Genomic DNA, 18,872 nt, shown 5'->3' on the forward strand with positions numbered 1-18,872 from the left:
AAAGTTGCTCTGAGAACCTGCTGGCTCATTTTGCCACCTTTCTGAAAATTTTTCCAGTCTGCAGGCCATGTGCCCTACATGTGTGCATACAGGGTGCCTGCCACACAAGGCCATTGCTCTGAGGACAGGGTGGAAATTAGGTTTCCTCTGGCCCCTTTGTTACGCTGCCCTCCCTGCTCTCCAGACAGCCATTCCAAGCAGCTTCTAATGAGGAAGGTGCCCTCTGCAACTTCAAGGAGAAATGAAAAACAGCTAGGGTAGCTCAACAATAATGCACATCTTCAAATGCCAACAAGAATGCCTCTTGCAGAAAATCTCTGTTCAAACAAACTTCATGACAAAATCTAAATAGTGCATTCTTTATTCATGGTTAGCCTATCTGATTATTCAGTTATTCATGCATCTCATTTTATGAATAATTAATAGTAATTATCTTATTACCTATCAGGCACTGAAAAGACACAGGTCCTCACTTCGAAGGAGGTCTCCATTGAGTCTCAGGCAGAACACACACTCCTGCTCTCTCCCGAGCCCCCTGCATGGGCTGATTGGCGTTGGCACTCTTCTCTTCCCTCACAGATACAGCCTCAGTCCTTCTCTCCTGCATGCTGAGAAGCCACTACCAATCCTCAGAGCTGCTATGGAAGCTTATTTGCAACTCTGCTCACTTATAATAACTCATGTATTCAGTTAGTCAAAAAGTATTTATTGAATGTCTACCAAGGGCCAACTCTGTTTTGGATACGTAAGATAGTCCTACATTCTAGGAGGAGGGATGATGGACAAAGTGCCTATGTGCTCATGGGAAAGACAGATAAGTATACAAATAACTGTACATTATTATTTTAGGCTGTGATATAAGTGATGAAGAAAAATAAAGACAGAAACATAAAGAAAGACAAGAACTATTAATTAGAAAGAGCATTCAGAGAAAGCCTGTCTGAGAAAACGACATGGCAGCAGAAACCTACATGAAATGAAGAAGTAACTCACACACATACCTGAAGAAAGAACCTTCTAGCTAAGGGACCAGCTTGTTCCAAGGGCAGGGAGGGTTTGGAGACTGGAGTGCTGGAGCAGTCAGTGAGGGAAACAATGGGAGGACAACAGGGGGTCCCAAAGAGAGCCAGGGCCAATGGCACAGGGTGCTATAGGCTATGGTAAGTAAGGTCTTTACAGAGCCCTCACCAGTGTAAATGCTGAAAAACAACATGACATCATCAGCATCCTAGCAACATCATCACGGCATCAACCTGCATTTACTCTGTGCCGGATGCTGTTTTCTAAATGACCACACAACACTAGGAGGCAAGTACTACCATCACCCGAAACTTATCAACCTTGTTGCACAACACACAGCTAGTAAGTGACAGCATCGGGAGTCAACACAGAAGCCAATGATCTTAACCCACGTGGTAAAAACATCCCTTAGAAAAGCAATTACAGGCCGGGCACAGTGGCTCACGCCTGTAATTCCAGCATTTTGGGAGGCCAAGTGGGGCAGATCACTTGACATCAGGAGTTTGAGACCAGCCTGGCCAACATGGTGAAACCTTGTCTCTACTAAAAATACAAAAATTAGCCAGTTAGTAGATGAGCCAGGCTCAGGCCTCTAATCCCAGCTACTTGGAAGTCTGAGACAGGCGAATCACTTGAACCTGGGAGGCGGAGGTTGCAGTGAGCCAAGATCACACTACTGCACTCTAGCCTGGGTGACAGAGTGAGACTCCGTCTCAAAAACAAAACAAAACAAAAAAGCAATTACAGCCCGGCCTGGTAAAGAGATAAAAAACATTCACACCTACTCAAAACCTGTAAAACAAGCTAATGATCTGAGTAGATGGCTGTGGCTTTGTTCAAGACTCCAGCTACTTGGTCACACATGGGTTCCTAAGGTACTGGGGTCAAACCTCTCAGAGGGGAAGATAAGGTGCAGGGAAGGCTGCACCAGATGATGGAAAAGCACCTCCAGGGGGGTCACTGACTGTTAGGCAGAGGAGGCTTGTGGAGAGTTCAGGTGACATTGTTCCATGAAATACAAGAGTAAAAAAAAGCACATGTTGTGTAATAAATGATTTTGAATGTAACTAAACTGATAATATAAATGTCATAAGTAGACATCTTGATTATTTTATCTATATCTCTGTAAGTTTCTATATTGAAACTTGAAAATTTATCTTTGAGAAATAGTAGATGAGTTTGTATTCAGGGTGGCTTATGTTTGGGTACATGAGATTATATTTACTGACTCATAAATGACGGGAAGAAGTGGTCATCAGAGCCAGGGATAGAGGCCTAGCTCTTAGCCTAGAAACACATGCAGGGAGCCCCAGCAATGCTGCAGGAGCTGACTTGGGTGGAAAAACTCAAGCTGCCTTTACTTAGAAGGTTCATGTTTTAAACTTGTAGTGCTGCTTAGTCCAATCTACCAAAAAGCCCTACGCCCACATTTCCTAGTATGTCTTATGATTAGGTCTTCATGGTTCTGTCTGTCCATTAGACAGGGCATGAGAGAGAAGCAAGAACCCAGCCTCGAAAAACCAAGAGGTTCTTTCAGAGCCCAACATGATGCCTGTGGAATGAATGAATAGATTAAAACTTTCATTTCAGAAGCATTTAAAATATAGAGCTATGTCCTTATTTTTATATGGGAAACAATAAGCTTTGAGAATTAAAAACATTACAGAAAAGAATGTCCTTGCCCAACTGCCATATATCTCCCAGACTTCATAGCTAACTATGATCTCATTCTAACTACTACCCTGGTCTCAACCACTGGACTCTAACGTACATGTGGTAATTCCTGTGAAGTGAAACTTTATTCTGGTGAACCAAGCAACAGTCAAGAACGACCTTAATCTCTCATTTCCACTAGGAGGAAAATAACCTTGCAAGATGAGTAAAAGGTAAAGCCGTCATTAAGTCAGGTTAAGAGAGGTGCAGTTCATTCAGAAATCACAGGCCCATGTCTGAACAGACCCAGGCATCTAGGAGATGTACACTCAAGGTTATATTGTTTAACAGTTAACATTTTTAAATGTGCGGTTTTCTAATTTCTTATAAGGATCCTTTCACAGCCAAAAAAGTACAACCAAAATAAAAACAAGTCTGCTGGTAATGACACAGGGACGCTCTGTGCTTCATTTTCAACCCGTATAATTGACTTTGACAGCATAACATGAGCCTAGAGCACTATATTCCATATTGCCTTAGCAGAAAAAAAGGTAAAATTGCATCCAAGTTACAATTAACAATGGATACTTAAAAATTTCAATTTTATATTTTAAACCTGGAAATATTTCCACACCTTCCCCCAAAACAGTCATCAATTTTTTTAAAAAAAATTTATCAGATTTGGATTTGGAGTATAGCATAATGTGAACTTGTAATTAGAAATCAATGTGGATTCTGGGATCAAGAAATAATAGATGAAAATATTACTGTACCTTTCATAAACATTTTTCAATTTGCTTCATATCAGTTTTCTTAATGAGGTACAATTTTTTAAAAGTACATTAGAATTAGAATTTTCTTGGTTAATCATTATAACAGAGCTGTTTTTCAACAAAGTGGCAGGGGCAATCCAGGTGAATTTTGATTCAGCAAAGACAATATTATGCTTAATAAAGTATCACCGCAGAATTTGACCAACCTCAAACTCTAATCCAAGAAGTAATTGCATATGTCAGTTATCATCAGTAAGAATTGCCTAAATCGGCATTTGCCCAAGTTCCATAAAATGCTAATACTTTGCAATGTTAATAAATGCCCTAGTGGGAAAGAAAAGGGCTCCCTTTGTCAAGTGATTTAGAGAAATTCTGGATTGAAGAATATCAAACATTTCTTTTGACTGCAGGACTTCTCAGAGCCTTTAACATGTTAATATGCACAGTATTCTTAACCTAAAAGAATATGTATTATTTTCCAGAGGCATTTGACAAATGAAACCCCTTTTCCTTATAGTATTCCATAGAACCATCACTCTGATAAACATGTTTTGTGAAATGTGAATCTAGATTATATCAACCCTCTTTTAGTCAAATTAGTCTCTATTCTATTTTCCCACAGCTCACTATGACCTGAACAATTAGGAGAAAAATAGCCCCTGCTGACATAGTGGCTTATTAAAACAATAATCTACTTCACAAACAATTACATTTTAAAGCCACATAGTTCCTTCCCTTGAGAAATGTCTGTAAGCCAGGTGGCTCAATTCTGAGAAGTTCCTGCACTGTGTATCTTGTGTCCAGACTGTCAGAGTTCTAATCCATCTTGCACCAAAAAAGTAACAATTGGTGGATGTATTATTATAACCGATTGCTCTAAAGAAAACAAAATGTGTTAGTGCACACTATGAAATTCTCAAAATGGCAGACCCTGCACTCCAGATGGAAAACAGAGTTCTTAGAGTGACTTACATTTAAAGCCAGGTATTCTATATTACCAGGATGGTGCCAAGAAGACTGACTTCCCTAGATTCCCAATGGGAGGACATCCCTGCTCCTGACCTGCATGTTCTATTTTGGCAGCAGCCTCACTAGTTGGCCCATGAGCCTCCCCTGCTTGGAAGGTGCTTTTAAATCACCACATATGTGCACCCTTCAATTAGTCCCCAGACCCCAGGATTTCAGAGTTGAAAGGGCCTTACTTCAATACAAGCCCCTCTTTTGTAGATGAGAAAACTGAGGCTTAGAGAAAAAAAAATCACTCGAGCCTAGACTAAAACCCAGATCCCCTCACTTCCTGCTTGATACATTCGTCTCTCACCCACTCAGAAGCTCAGGGCCCCACGGATGACCTGAGGTCCAAAAGGCCTTCCAGAAGCTTCTGTTCTAGCATGCAAGAGCCAAGAGTCCAGCTGCAGCCACAACTTCATTGTTACCTCTTTCAAATACTCTTCTGTCTCAGAGCACGCAGCAGCCCAGTAATGCATGTTCTGGTTTACTTTCAGAAGCTACTGCAAATCAAATGCTGGGGGGAGGACATCTTTAGTCAGAAGAAAAGATCTTGAGATATTCAAATGTAAGGAATTTTGTCTTACTTGTTGTTACATCTCAGTAGGTTGCACAGTGCCTAGCACACAAAAAAGTCCTCAAAAAACATCATTGGGAATGCTTGATGAACTGAAGGCAGAGTCTTACACACATTTAAGAAGCATTTAAGTCTAACTCACTACTTAAAATAAAGCTTAATCCGTTTCCATAAAATCCATGCAAAACCCCGTTACCCAAGTTTATGCCACCTAATTTTTCTATGTTTTTGGAGGGGCCTGACCAGCATCTTCACTGTTGATACAGTTACTGTGCCCAATAAAAGGCATGCAAAGAAACAGTTCCACTCAGGAGAAAGAAAGGTGTCCAGTTTATGACTGAGACCTGAGAAACAGCATCGGCTCTTTCTCTTGCTTAAATTAACATCACTAAGTCTCAATCTTCTTATCTGTAAAGTGGTTTCAAAGATAGTAACATCTTCATTAGTTTGTTGGGACAATTAAACAATTCATTGTGTGTACACAGCAACTTGGCCAACTATGATTGCTTTTTTTAATGGCTGCTAATATTGAAAAGAATTATTAAGCTGGGTGGGTAAGACTTGTCTTGGGATCAGTTGCGTGTACCTGCCATGGGTGTCAATGAAGAGGGTGCAACAGACACATCAGGTGTTTGCTGTACATGTAGATGCACTGCCCTGATGCCCCTTCAGGACCAAGACAGTCTCCAAGTGCCAGGGATGTGCTTTCCCTGAGAGCTGCCTTGTCTAAGATTACACCCTTCTCCTGGCATTGCCCACCTCTATTGACTCAATTAGAGTCAACAGCCCTCCAAATGGCTATCTCAGCTCCAGAGCAACTGATAGGGACTGCTACGGCCTTTGCTGCAACTACATTACAGTTTGACTTTTCCCTGTGCCTAATCCCACTTCCCTCCCTTTCTGAGAGCACCCTCAATAAACTTCTTGCATGTTCATCTCAGAGTCTCAATTTCCCAGGGAACACAACTGAAGACATTATCCTTGGCCTACTTCATTGCTCAATAAAAAGCAGCTATTATTCTTTTGGTTGAATTTTCTAAAATATCCACACTTGTTTTCCATCACAAGAGACTTCCTGACTCTCTTTATGGGTGACATCCTTTCATGGATGGAGAAAAATGGCAAAGATATAAATAACTTAAACTAATTTTTATTTATTATCTAAAGAGTCCTAAACTCTGTACTCTGTTCTCACAGTAATTATCTCCACCACCGATTTACTACTTCTTTAGTTACCCTAGTTTTAAAGACATAAGAGAGGCACAGGAAATGATAGAATATCCTGTTATAAAATATACATAAAGCTTAGTTTATTCACAATAACTAACTAATTTTATATAATTTTAGATGCTCAATCTAATACCCAATGCTGAGGGGCACAAGCCTTAGGTATAAGCTTGAAGATTTTAACCATTCAAATCCTATCAAAGGTAGTCTTACCTTATGGAACCAGTGGGTTGCACAAATGGCACTGGGCAAGGATGCAGAAGGCTTGGGATCTGGTCTCCCCTCTGCCAATAACTCCCTCTAGGATCGTGGGCAGGTCATTTGCCTTTGCTGGGCCCTACTTCCTTCATCGGCAAAACAAGGAGCTTGTATTAAATGAAGTCTAAGGTCCTTTCTTTTTTTTTTTTTTTTTTTTTTTTTTTTTTTTTTTTTGTTGAGACGGAGTCTCGCTCTGTCGCCCAGGCTGGAGTGCAGTGGCGGGATCTCGGCTCACTGCAAGCTCCGCCTCCCGGGTTCACGCCATTCTCCTACCTCAGCCTCCCAAGTAGCTGGGACTACAGGCGCCCGCCACTACGCCCGGCTAATTTTTTTTTTTTTTTGTATTTTTAGTAGAGACGGGGTTTCACCGTTTTAGCCGGGATGGTCTCGATCTCCTGACCTCGTGATCCGCCCGCCTCGGCCTCCCAAAGTGCTGGGATTACAGGCGTGAGCCACCGCGCCCGGCCCGTCTAAGGTCCTTTCTAGTAAGAAAAACTTATGATTGCTCAAACCTTGTAGGGCTTTTTCCAGGCAACATAAATAAGATGTAGAGGGAAAGTGTAATAGCAGAGAAGAAATTAAAAGTGTCATAAATTCAAGTTACCAACTTCCCAAATGTGTATTACAGGACAGACGATTAAGTGAATAGGAACTGATTTAATAGTTGTATTTTCCTTTTGCAAGATTTCCATCTAAATCATTGCCTATGTCATTGATTGTCATTTCCTTAATCTGGAGTGTTTGAATATATAGTTTGGCAATGCTTTGGACAAGCCATAAGTCAAAGTTAACATTTTTAGAAGTTAACCATGCCCAGGTCTCTGCCTTGGGCAGTGATGTGCTGAAATACCAGCATCTATTTGAGCTATTGGAAAGAGGTTATTGATGTCAGTGTGTCATGCACTGTAATTTGCAGGTGCCCCCCTGACTAACCTCTGGTAGCGATAACTCAGGGTAAACCTGAGGTAATTATCCTGGCCAGGGAGAGCTGGTTTAACTAGACTGGCCCTTTTGATGCATGTTGAACACGATTGCACCCTAGGGATTACACAAGTCCTGTGTGTGAGTTATTACATAAATTCTACCTTGGAAAAAGTAAGAAGGTATGCTGTCAGAATTTTTTTCTTCTCCCAGTCCTTTTGCTTTCAATGTTTGGGTTCTTCAGTAATGCCTTCACCGTATTTACTTTGAAAATGATACTGCACGTGTTATGGAGTAAAATAGAATAGAAGAAGATATAGATGCTCCCAAACACACACCTCAGAGGTCTCCCTTCCCAGTGGCTTTTGAAGCATGATTCTGGTTCCGAGTCTTTTGCCTGAGGAAGCGTTTTTTTTTTCAGTGTACGAAACCTGAGGCTTGGTCTAATCTTCACAGGAAGAACTCTCAAGCTTTTGGTACCTCCTTAAGGCTTTATCTTCAATGAGACTCACGACTGCAGACCAGTCACTGAACAATTGTCTGACTCTCAGTTTCCTCATCTATAAAATAAAGATAGATAAACTGGTCCTACCAATCCTCAAGGCCAGAAAAAGGATCCAGCATGAAGATCACCCCACGAAAGCATTTTAGAAAGCACACAGGACTCTGGCTTAGATGGGCTTGTTTTATTATTGACTAAACGAATCATCAGCAGTGGTTTTAATGAACATACAAAAATGGGGTCTCCAGTTTATAGTCCAAGCTTCACCTCAAAATAAGCCCATAGATCAGAGTCAGGGGTAAACAGAGGCAAGACAGACTCTACAAGCCCAGCCCTCCTCTCTCTCTAGAACTGAGCATAGCATTTCTTTTAGGAAAGGATCCACGTCTGCTTCTAGTTTTCACTGGAGCTCACAAAAGGATGACACTTATTGATTTTCCCTTATTGATTTCTATTTCAGGGACCAAAAGCCACAAAATAGGATAACGTCTAAAAAATAGTGTGAGTTTGCTTAGAAAGCCCCCTCAAAATAAATAAGAGATGACTATACCATTCAAGCAAGATTTCTTTTTCCAAAACCCCCACCCCAAGGCTTGTCATTTCAAACTCTACCCCCATAATAACAATGATTACATTTGAGAAATATGTTGCGTTTCATTCAGCAGGATCTTCAGCCTTCGGCAAACAAACATTCACTTTGCCAAGGACTGCTGAAGAGCCACTAATGGAGTGAAACCTGAAAACCCTTTGGAAAAGAATAATGAACCCCACTCTGTCTTCAGGGGGTAATTTAGTAGGTAGCTTAGGCAACACTTGATTAAGAGTAAACCTCTCTTTTCCATAGAAATATATTGTGTTTGTACAGAAAGCCTATATGAAGTGGAGGATTAGGTCAGAAATCCACAGGAAAAAGCAGAAGATGTTTCTCAGAAGAAATATGCAAGTTACTGCACATTTGGAAAAACAAGTCATACTTTAGTGGGAGGAAAGAAGAAAAACTCCACATATAACAGTTTTATTTACACGATTGCACTTGGCTTCTTGGAACATTTCTAACAAATAGTTAGTTCCCAAATACATTGCACAGGATGTCTTGTTGCCCCTGACAGTCTATGAGTTACTACAAAGAGTAATGATTTTAACTCAAGGCTACCTGAAACTGATTGTCAAATAAGATTTTCTGAGACCGCCTACAGGGGCCTGCTATAGCAAAAGTCGTTTTTTTGGCTCGCGGAGGATTATAGTGTGAAAGAAAAACAAATGTCAAAATAAATCCCCAAGGAAAGAAAGCACTTCTGTGCTGACCCTCAGTCCTACTCGTCAACATTCCTTGTCCTCTGTAGACTAACAAATACTTGAGTATTTCTCTTCGTCTGAAACCATGAACAGAGTCTGAAAAAATTAGATGAGGGTCAGTTCATATTTCAACAATGTGATAGGATTTATCCATAACTTAATGGAACTTCCCAATCTCTACCCATCAAGGTAGAAAACTGCAAAACAAATAAATAAAACACTTCACAGCATTAAAAACAAATCATGATGTTAAATTCTAATAAAAATTTAAACAAATGTGGATTCTCTTTTAAACCTGGGTTAGGATGACCTTTCTCATCTTTTCCATATGTTGAAAATGATGGCTGAAATGAAGCCTCCCTAAATCACTCTACACCATGCCTACCAAACAGCCATGGAAAACTAGGAACTAAATAAACTCATTTTGACAATGATGAATCTCTTAACTCTGCTGGTCAGGTTTCTTCTAATGGCAGTACTTAGGTAAGTGTACCATAACACATGAACATAGATCACATTTAAAGTAACAATTTTAAGCTCAGGGAATTGAAAAAGAAATGAATTTAACTTAGTGGCTTGGAGAGATGAACATTTAGATATGAAGCTTAAAAAATTGCTGCTTAAGATATACACGTCCTTCTGCAAAGAAACAACTTAGCAAACCTTGGGAACTCCATAATGAACTATATGTTTTGCTGAAAGCTATGCATTTTTGAGGTTTATGTTGTTTGTTACACTTCCTCTGTTAGCTGATTCCAACTCTAATTGGAGGAGGAAAGTAAAGGAAGTCCCCTTCGAAAAAAGATATTGGCTGTACAGGGTTGCACAAATTAAAAAATAAAATTGCCTTTCTAGCTTTTTTTTTTAGAATTCTATTAAAAGGACAAGAATAAATGAGAACATTCATTTGCTTTTTAAAATGATCACACTTGGGTTTAACCACGGGCAGAGAAGAAACTTTACGGTTCCCTGGGAACCTATAATTTGGAAACGGAAGCACACAAGAACAGACTTTAGTTTTCAGGCAATAAATTGAAGAGAATTCTGCAGACATATAACAGAAAAGGAGCACAAAACATTGGCTTGTACATTTTTTAGAAAGTTAGTTTATTAACTCGATAAGCTACACATAGAAAAATGCAGCCAAAATCTACAAGGATATCCACTGGGGTTTCAAATTGGTATATTTACTCAGTGAGAAATAGCTAGAGCTTTAAAAAGAAAAAAATAAATAAAAATAAAAAAATAAAAAAAAAAGGCATCCCATTCTGGAAATGACGATTTAGTGTGAATCTCTGGAAAGACACCTTGTTGAAAAACCTCCATGTGGGCTCTGATGGGACACACAGAAGCCCAAAGCCCCAAGGTCAGACATAAATATCATGCCCAATAATCTGTGTTCTGGGAAAAGCTCTACAGAATTATACAAGAAAATCACGATCTTTCACATCCACCTTTCACACACAATTCAACATTAACTTGAAGAATGTTTTAATTTTCCTCCTTATTGCCCAAAATGTTTTTTTAATGCTTTATTGGGAATTTCCATTTACTGGTGTGTGTTCTATATCTGTATTACTCATCAGTGTAAAATAGTTGCAAAGAATTTGTTGGTTGATACTCCCAATGGTCACTGTCTTCTATGACTAAAAGCTCATTATCAGTCTCTCTGGGAGAAAACTCTAGTAACTGAAGTCCACATATGTCAGGTACTGTGCTAGATTCTTTCATAAACCTTATTTTATTTAACCTGCCCAGGGAGGTAAAGATTGTAATCCCCATTTACAGATGAAAAAAGTAAGGGTCAGAGAGATTCTCTGCCATACTCAAGGCCCTAAGCTAATAATAATAAGGGCCAGTATTTGAACACTGGCCAGTTCAACTCCACGGTTCTGCATCCTTCCCTTCCTGTTCTCCTTGTCAATGCTCCAAAAAAAATGATTTGAGAAGCTAAATCAAGAACATTCCCTATTCCTGTAGATAGTGGTGATTTCCTCTGAGAAACAATAATTCAAGGTATCTTCAAACAAAATTGGGACTCAGAACAAATACTAAACTGCCACCTCTTTCCAATGAGTCAAGTTCGGCTAACTAGGGTGTATTCTTAGTCACTTTATTTACACAATGTAGACCCACTGGGATCAGAGTGCCAGGCCATGCAGCAGAGGCCGCAAGCCAATGGGCAACTCATGTGCACATGTGCTTCACAGGATCCCAGAGTGTTTAAAAATTCAACTAACTTTCTAAAATCTATAGATTTCACATACAAATTCCCATTTTATGGACTGTCTTGGATAATCGGAGGTCCCATCACCCTAGGCCCACCTTTACAGCAGTGTTCAACCAGAGCTTAGTGGCCACTACTCCCATAGATGAGTAAGGGTTCTTGAGTTCCCTATAGCTCCCCACCACCCTCAACTATATCCACACACTAAGGCCACCTACAGCTGAAATTTTTCATTATGCATATGCTATTTTTCTTATAATAGAGAAATATTTCTCCAGGGCTTGTCTCTTTTGATAGACTGAATGATTGGCCTCAGTTCTCCACCTCTCCTCGTATCTACTCCCGTACATTTTTGTCTTTGTGAGTCAAGTGAACTTTTCCAATCTGTGACTTGGTCATGTGCTTTGCTTTGGGCCAATGCCAAGGGTGAAAATCACAATATCAGTTCAAGAGTAGGCCTTATGAGGCCTAGTATGTTTTTGCTCATTCTCTTGTGCTTCAGCAACTGTCATTAGTTTTCCCTGGGTTGCTGACACCTGGCCTCAGAATGAACACGTGTAACAGAGCTGCCCCAGGCACCACGACAGATGTGCAGTGAGTAGAAGTGCCCAGCCAAACCCACCCTAGAGCAGCTGGGCCAGTTAGTCAACCTGCAAATCTGTAAGAATAAACTATTGGTACTAAAAAGCCACTGCGTTTTGGGTGATTTGTTGCACAGCACAGCATTATTATGGCAATTGCTAACTGACACATCTCTACCAAAAATAAACAATAAAAAACAGGCAGAAAGAACCAGACATCATTATTTTTCCTACACACAAGCCTGTTTCTTATGTTAAAAGCCTAGACCCTGAAGACATTTGAGTTTGCAATTTCTGTCGGAAAACTGTAAACTTATGAAATAAAGAAGACTGGATTTGTAAAATATTTCGTACTGTGCTATATATCCAGGTTTGACTGAGGTGACGCAGGTTTTGTCTATTGCCTTTTGTGTTCTGGTTTGAACAATAAAAAGCATAGTCACTCTATCTTCATTCAACTTTGTTTCCGACTTTCATACCAACTAGTTGAATCTCTTGGTGCTCTTCTTTGAAGCCTGATCCACTAGCTATTATTGTTGTAGGCAATACTCTACATGATATTTTTCTGGATATAATACCTGTTGGGTTGGTTGAAATCATGAAGCCAGTGTATCCAATTGTTACCAAATGCTTGTGTAGAATAAATCAAAATTAACAGGTGCCAATGCCACAACCACCAACCAGCCAAGCTAAATCCTGGCTGACTGACACTTAAAGCTTAACAGGCTAACTTGTAAACAGGAAATGCTCAAAACAATAGCAATATTAAAAAAGGCAAGTGCCTCCAGAAAGTTTTGGCAGTAATTACTACATCTGAGCACATCTGCTTAACAATCCAGGAAAGTGGGAGGTTTACTCTCTATTAACCTTAACCAGAGACATTTTCATCAAAATTAATCGTGATTACTTTTTATTGCATTTCAAATGCTATCCTTTATTTGGGGTGGTCAGGAATGCAACTAAGCAATTCCAGACCATGCTATCTTTTATGAAGAGGTTATGAGGTAGTTATCAAGGCCTCTTATGAAAATATTGCTATACAAAAGTTCATGGGCCAAAACAAGACATTAATTTCCATAACTATATGTGTCCTCAGAAAAGAAGAAATTACTATATATAGAAAAGACAAAAACTTTGATGCTCATTGTATATCAGATTAGAACTGTAGAAATACCTCTGCATATAGTAAACAAATCGTTTTTAATGTTTCATTTGCCTTTTCCTTGTTATTATAACAACCATTAGTCATGAATGCTTATTTTGGGCATGGTCTGTACCCAAGTACAATTCTAAATTATTTATATGCCTTGACTCTTTAACTCTCACAACTACTCTGGAGCAGATGCAATTATTATCCTTGTTTTACGGAATAATACACCATAGCAAGGTGAGCCCTAAGGTCAGGTCGTCTTTAAAGTTCTGGGCCCACCTGGACAGGCGCAGTGGTTCACACCTGTAATCCCAGCACTTTGGGAGGCCGAGGCGGGCGGATCATGAGGTCACGAGATGGAGACCATCCTGGCTAACACAGTGAAACCCCGTCTCTACTAAAAATACAAAAAAAATAGCGGGGCATGGTGGCGGGAGCCTGTAGTCCCAGCTACTCGGGAGGTTGAGGCACGAGAATGGTGTGAACCCGGGAGGTGGAGCTTGCAGTGACCCAAGATCGCGCCACTGCTCTCCAGTCTGGGCGACAGGGGGAGACTCCATCTCAAAAAGAAAAAAAAAAGTTTTGGGCCCACCTACTATTGTCTCACTATTCAGTGAACACTCCAAATCAAGCATCAATGTAAAGGGCCTTCAGTGACACCAGAAGGCATGTCTAGGACACAGAGAAAGGAAAAAAAAAATACCTAATATTGACTAACTAGTCCTCATGTGCCATGCTCTATGCAAGGTATTTCCTTGTATTTCCTACACTGGAATAATTACTGATTTCTCTTTTGGCCAATTAAAAAGATGAACTATGAGTACATATTGAAATTATCTAACTTCTCCTATCTCCAAGGAGGAAACCTAATATATAACTGGAGAAAGACACTAATTAATAACCAAAATTTAACATGAACTCCGGCCAACTTGAACTGCTCTGTTTAAAGGCACACTGGAATAAATAAAGAAACTTCAAAGCAAATGCCCTGTTTTAGCTTGAATGTTTTATTGAGTACATGGGGAGCACTCCTTGGCCAAAAATAAGGGTGGTTAATGAGGAAAAATTGGTGTTTCCAGTGAGTTGGTTTGTTTCTAAGATATGGCTGTCCATTGAAAGATAACTATATTCACAGAGAAGACAGAATAATGATCTGTGTCTGAGCTTCACAGTCTTGAACAAAACAAAACTGGTTTTGTAAACTGTCTGGGATCAGCTGAATGTATCCTCACCCAAATACCTTCTGTGATAATACACACACATTTGCCTTCTTCTATTCCCAAAACAATTTAAATATAAATTGAAAAGGAAGACATTTCTATGTTTTAAGTTTCTTGCCAACTATATAAATGCAGCCCTTACCTTTTAAGGTGAGGTACAGGAACCAAAAGACTCTGCCTTGTATTTCCAGGCTCTACCGTAATTGGCTTTTCATGGCCACCATTCTGAAAATGATGACCCTCCCTGGGAAAGACCTACTGGGTTCCCTGTTAGTGCTAGACTCAGGGCAAAGGCAAAGTCCACCATTTCTGTGCATATTTTCTGGCACCAATGGTGACATTTCTGAGAGAGTCCATCTCTAGTTATTTAGCGATTAAGAAGAGAAGCCTGTGCTTACCTGCAAATGCTGTGAGTTGTCAGCCATGCTGTCTTCTCGCCTGCGCACTTCTTCTAGTAACTGAGCATTTTTCTTCTTTTCCAACTGTTGATTGTGCTTGAGGTTGGCCACCTTCTTATTCTGATCTTTCATATGCCTGAGAAAAGTCAGCACAGCTTGGTTAAATTCTACCACTGGAAGATCATATGTTATCACAAATAGATTCAGGAAGTACTAAGTATAGGCTATCTGGATAAGGGCTTGGGAAAAAGATGATACTTCTGAATAATCCATTCATTCAACTACAAATATGTATTGAGCATCCACTTAATACCAGGTCCCAGGACGGCACTGGGGCTGCAGTGGCAAATGGGGCAGGTATAATCTTCACTCTCATGGAGCTTAGAGGCCAGTGGGCAAGATGGACAAGTACCAAGGAAACACAACTTAGGTTTCTTAACGTTGAAGGAAACAAATAGCATGCTGTGAGAGACAGTGATGTGCATGTGTGGACAGGTGGTGGAGTGGAAGGAGATGACTTTAGATGCTGTGGCCAGGGAAAGCCTCCCTAGCAAAGTGAGACTGTGGGTGAGACTACAAGGAGCTAACCAAGAGAAACACCAGTGGCAGAGCTCCCAAGTAGAGAGAACAATGCGTGTAATTTCCAAGACAGGAAAGAAGAAACTGGAAGGCTGCAGTGAGGCTAATCCAGGGAAGGGTGGATGTGGGTGGGAGATGGGACTGCACAGGTAGGCAGGGCCCAGGCTCATAGGGCCTCTGGTCCATGATACAGCATTTATTTTCTTCTAATTGGTTGCTGTTCTAATTATTATTATTATTCTTTTGGATCATGTTCTTATTCTGAGATCATAATCCATTACTTTGATTTTAAAATAACAATTATGAGGCTCCAATCAAATACATTGTCATCACTTAGCTCAAACACAATAACAGTTTGGCTAATCATAATGTTAAATAAAGCTCTGGGGCTTGGAGTAAAACTTCTTAATGAATCTACAGGATGTCAAAGTGCAAAATCATAAAGTGATCAAGTGAGTAAAAGACTAAAGATAAAGAATGGGTTCAAGAAAACAACAATGGGAATTATAAGCTTAATGTGTACTATTGCACCAGCAGCTTTTAGCAAAACATTCCACAGATTTAGGCAACCATGTCCACAGCAGCTGTCATAAATCTAATCCAACACATGAGGAGGTAGGAGGGCAGTACGGAGGGCTCGGGAGCATTGACACAAGAGGAGGGACGAGCAGCAGAATCATTTGGGGTCCTTTCGGATCCCTTTCCCCCATACCACAGCATTGCCAGGTCAACCACTGTTACTGAGCCCTGACTCAGTAAAAAACATACTGAGAATCACTGCTGTTTTAAAATGTAAACAAGATGAGAACTAGATGATAAACAGCAAACGTGAAATTGAAACAATTAAAATCAAATGAAAACTGCTCTCCGCAAGAAACTCTTATTTCTAGTCCTCATAAATTATGTACCCCCCTACTCTCTCCCATTCCAAGCAAACGAAGCACAAGAGCATTGTTTAGTTAGTAGAATAATATTATCTAGTACTAACAGTGTACTCCTTGCTAATAAAAACAGTCCGAGGGTGCAGCGGCTCATGCCTGTAGTCCCAGCTACTCGGAAGTCTGAGGCAGGAGGATCGCTTGAGCCCAGGAGTTAGACCACCCTGTGCAACATAGCAAGGCCCCATCTCTAAAACACACACACACACACACACACACACACACACACACACACACACTCTCTCTCTCTCTCTCTCTATATATATATATATATATTCTGAACACTTTGTCTTCTTATGAATATTTACACTAACTGAAGCCATGATTTAAATATTATTGGTAGCACTTATTAAGAGGACATAAAGTATGATATAATAACCATCTCCTTAGTCTTTGAGTTGCATTAATTTTTGTCCAATATTTCTCCATTTTTACCTGATACAGCAACATACACACGTGAAGCCACCAAGTCAAACTTGCATGCTAATCCACTTTGAGGAAATTATCTTTTGGTTAGTATAAAGATGTTAAGAATGCCCTCTTGCTTTCTAATTGAATGAGGACACAGTATTTCCAAAGCCCATGCTAACCTAAGGCAGGCGCATTTTCCAGTTCCTTAGGAAATAAGGCCAGAGCTCAGTAACAGGATGTTATGGAGAGGTCAGGATGATTAGTGTGATTGTTTAATTAGAGGGTACTTTTAAAAAGAAATAATCTTATTACTTTAGAATACAGTGTTAAATAGAACCAACTGCTAAAAGTCCCCCTGCCCCAAGTATGGGTGACAAATACAGATTATTATTACAAACATCATTTGCACAGTGAAAGAGCTCCCACAAAGTTCTTGGAGCAGTCTGAACACAGTGACCTTACTTTCAGGGATACTGCAATGTTTTTTCAATCCCAAAGAAAAAAGCATATTCTAAACCCACGTGTCCCTTAAAGCTTTCCTGAATTAAGAAAGAGTGGCGGCCGGGCACGGTGGCTCACACCTGTAATCCCAGCACTTTGGGAGGCCGAGGTGGGCAGATCATGAGGTCGGGAGATCGAGACCATCCTGGCTAACATGGTGAAACCCCATCTCTACTAAAAATACAAACAAACAAACAAAAAAATAGCCAGGCATGGTGGCAGGCACCTGTAGTCCCAGGTACTCGGGAGGCTGAGGCAGGAGAACGGCGTGAACCCGGGAGGCACAGGTTGCAGTGAGCCAAGATCACACCACTGCACTCCAGCCTGGGTGACAGAGTGAAACTCCATCTCAAAAAAAAAAAAAAAGAATGAGTGGCTGAGAAAAATGGGGTACTCTAGTTTTGACATTATGATGGAGGCCTATCTCCAGCCATTCCTTTAAACACTCCCTTATTTAAGACAACAGTGACTGAAAATGGAAAGTTGGGTTTTGAATGGCACTGCTTAGGATTTGGGCCAATTAGAGAGATGCAGAGCAAGGTGGATGAGAATGATCATCTTGTCTTTGTTCATGAAACTGTCAATAGCTACATATAGTGTCCACACTCTCCTGAAGTAGTTCCACAGTTTTCACACATATTTCTAGCAGTTGAAGCCTTTCTTTTACTTAATGCTTACTTGAAAGTCAAAAGGGAAAAGAAGGATTTCTCTGGCACAGGTAGGAAAGAAGCAAGAAGTGGGGTGGAATAGGTGAGCAGAGCCTCACTACCAGATAACCCCTCTCTCAAGTGTTTCTCAGGGAAGCCCTAAGGCTACCTGAAACACATGTTAAAATGGCAATTTATAAGGGATACAGGTAGAGGAGTCATGAAATTTAAAAATACTAGATCTCTTAGAGAAGAGAAAATGCCCTCACAGATGCTCAGTGAAAAAATGACCACAGTGATTTTTGCTAGCAACAACTTCAGCATTTGTAAGAATAAAATCTATAAGTGACCTATCAGTCTCCACATCTTCCCCTACCTGCAGAAGTACACCCACACTGAATGAATCAAAGTGCTAAATTCAGTACAGCTTTCAAATGTCTCCACAATCTAGAAGGTAAGGCCCCTGGTCGTGGAGACTGCAATGCCTTCTTACTATCCTGCCCCAGAACCAAGTATCACTCTTTTCCAAATCCCCATCCACTTGGCAAGGCTCTGCAAGAGACTGACTTGCTCCATTATTTAAAAAAAAAAAAAAAAAAAAAAAAAAAAAAAGGTTTCTTTGGGGTGAAATTTTTCTCCAGAAAAAAAAAAACAGCATTACGAATACATGCAAAATGCAAATCTTAAAAAGATAAAAACAATTATGGTAAAAGAAGTATTTGGAAAATATAGTGGTAAGGTTAGTTTTCAATGTTTAATTTAAATTTACCAGTTTCATAAATCAAGGGATGTCACTATTCAAAATTCAGTTGCCATCAAGGAATTTGAATTAAATTAAAAATTTCCAACAGGTTCAAGGTCAACAATGACTACCATATTAAGAAAGCATGTCAGAGAGAACAGAATCCTGCCATTTTCACTAGAATTATCTGTCAAATTCTAAGAATAAAGTGTTCTCTAACTTGCTGGTGAGAACGTGTCAGAC

At 40.1% G+C, this 18,872-nt stretch overlaps 1 protein-coding gene across 21 annotated transcripts in view; it reads right to left on the bottom strand.

The window, feature by feature from the left end:
* ERC2 (ELKS/RAB6-interacting/CAST family member 2) overlaps positions 1 to 18,872 on the bottom strand; it is a 960,157-nt gene that overhangs the window by 427,303 nt on the left and 513,982 nt on the right. For 20 of the 21 annotated variants that reach the window (NR_132749.2, XM_017006156.2, XM_047447950.1 and 17 more), the window contains one exon: positions 14,812 to 14,947. Coding sequence is in view for 20 of the 21 variants with exons in the window: in XM_017006156.2 (XP_016861645.1) it covers positions 14,812 to 14,947 (136 nt within the window). In the remaining variant the exon portion in view is untranslated. Of the gene's footprint in view, positions 1 to 14,811; positions 14,948 to 18,872 lie in introns of those variants that run through there. The other variant, XM_047447953.1, reaches the window with a different exon arrangement.

Source organism: Homo sapiens, chromosome 3, assembly GCF_000001405.40.
Source record: "Homo sapiens chromosome 3, GRCh38.p14 Primary Assembly".
In the NCBI taxonomy this organism is placed as follows: Eukaryota; Metazoa; Chordata; class Mammalia; order Primates; family Hominidae; genus Homo; species Homo sapiens.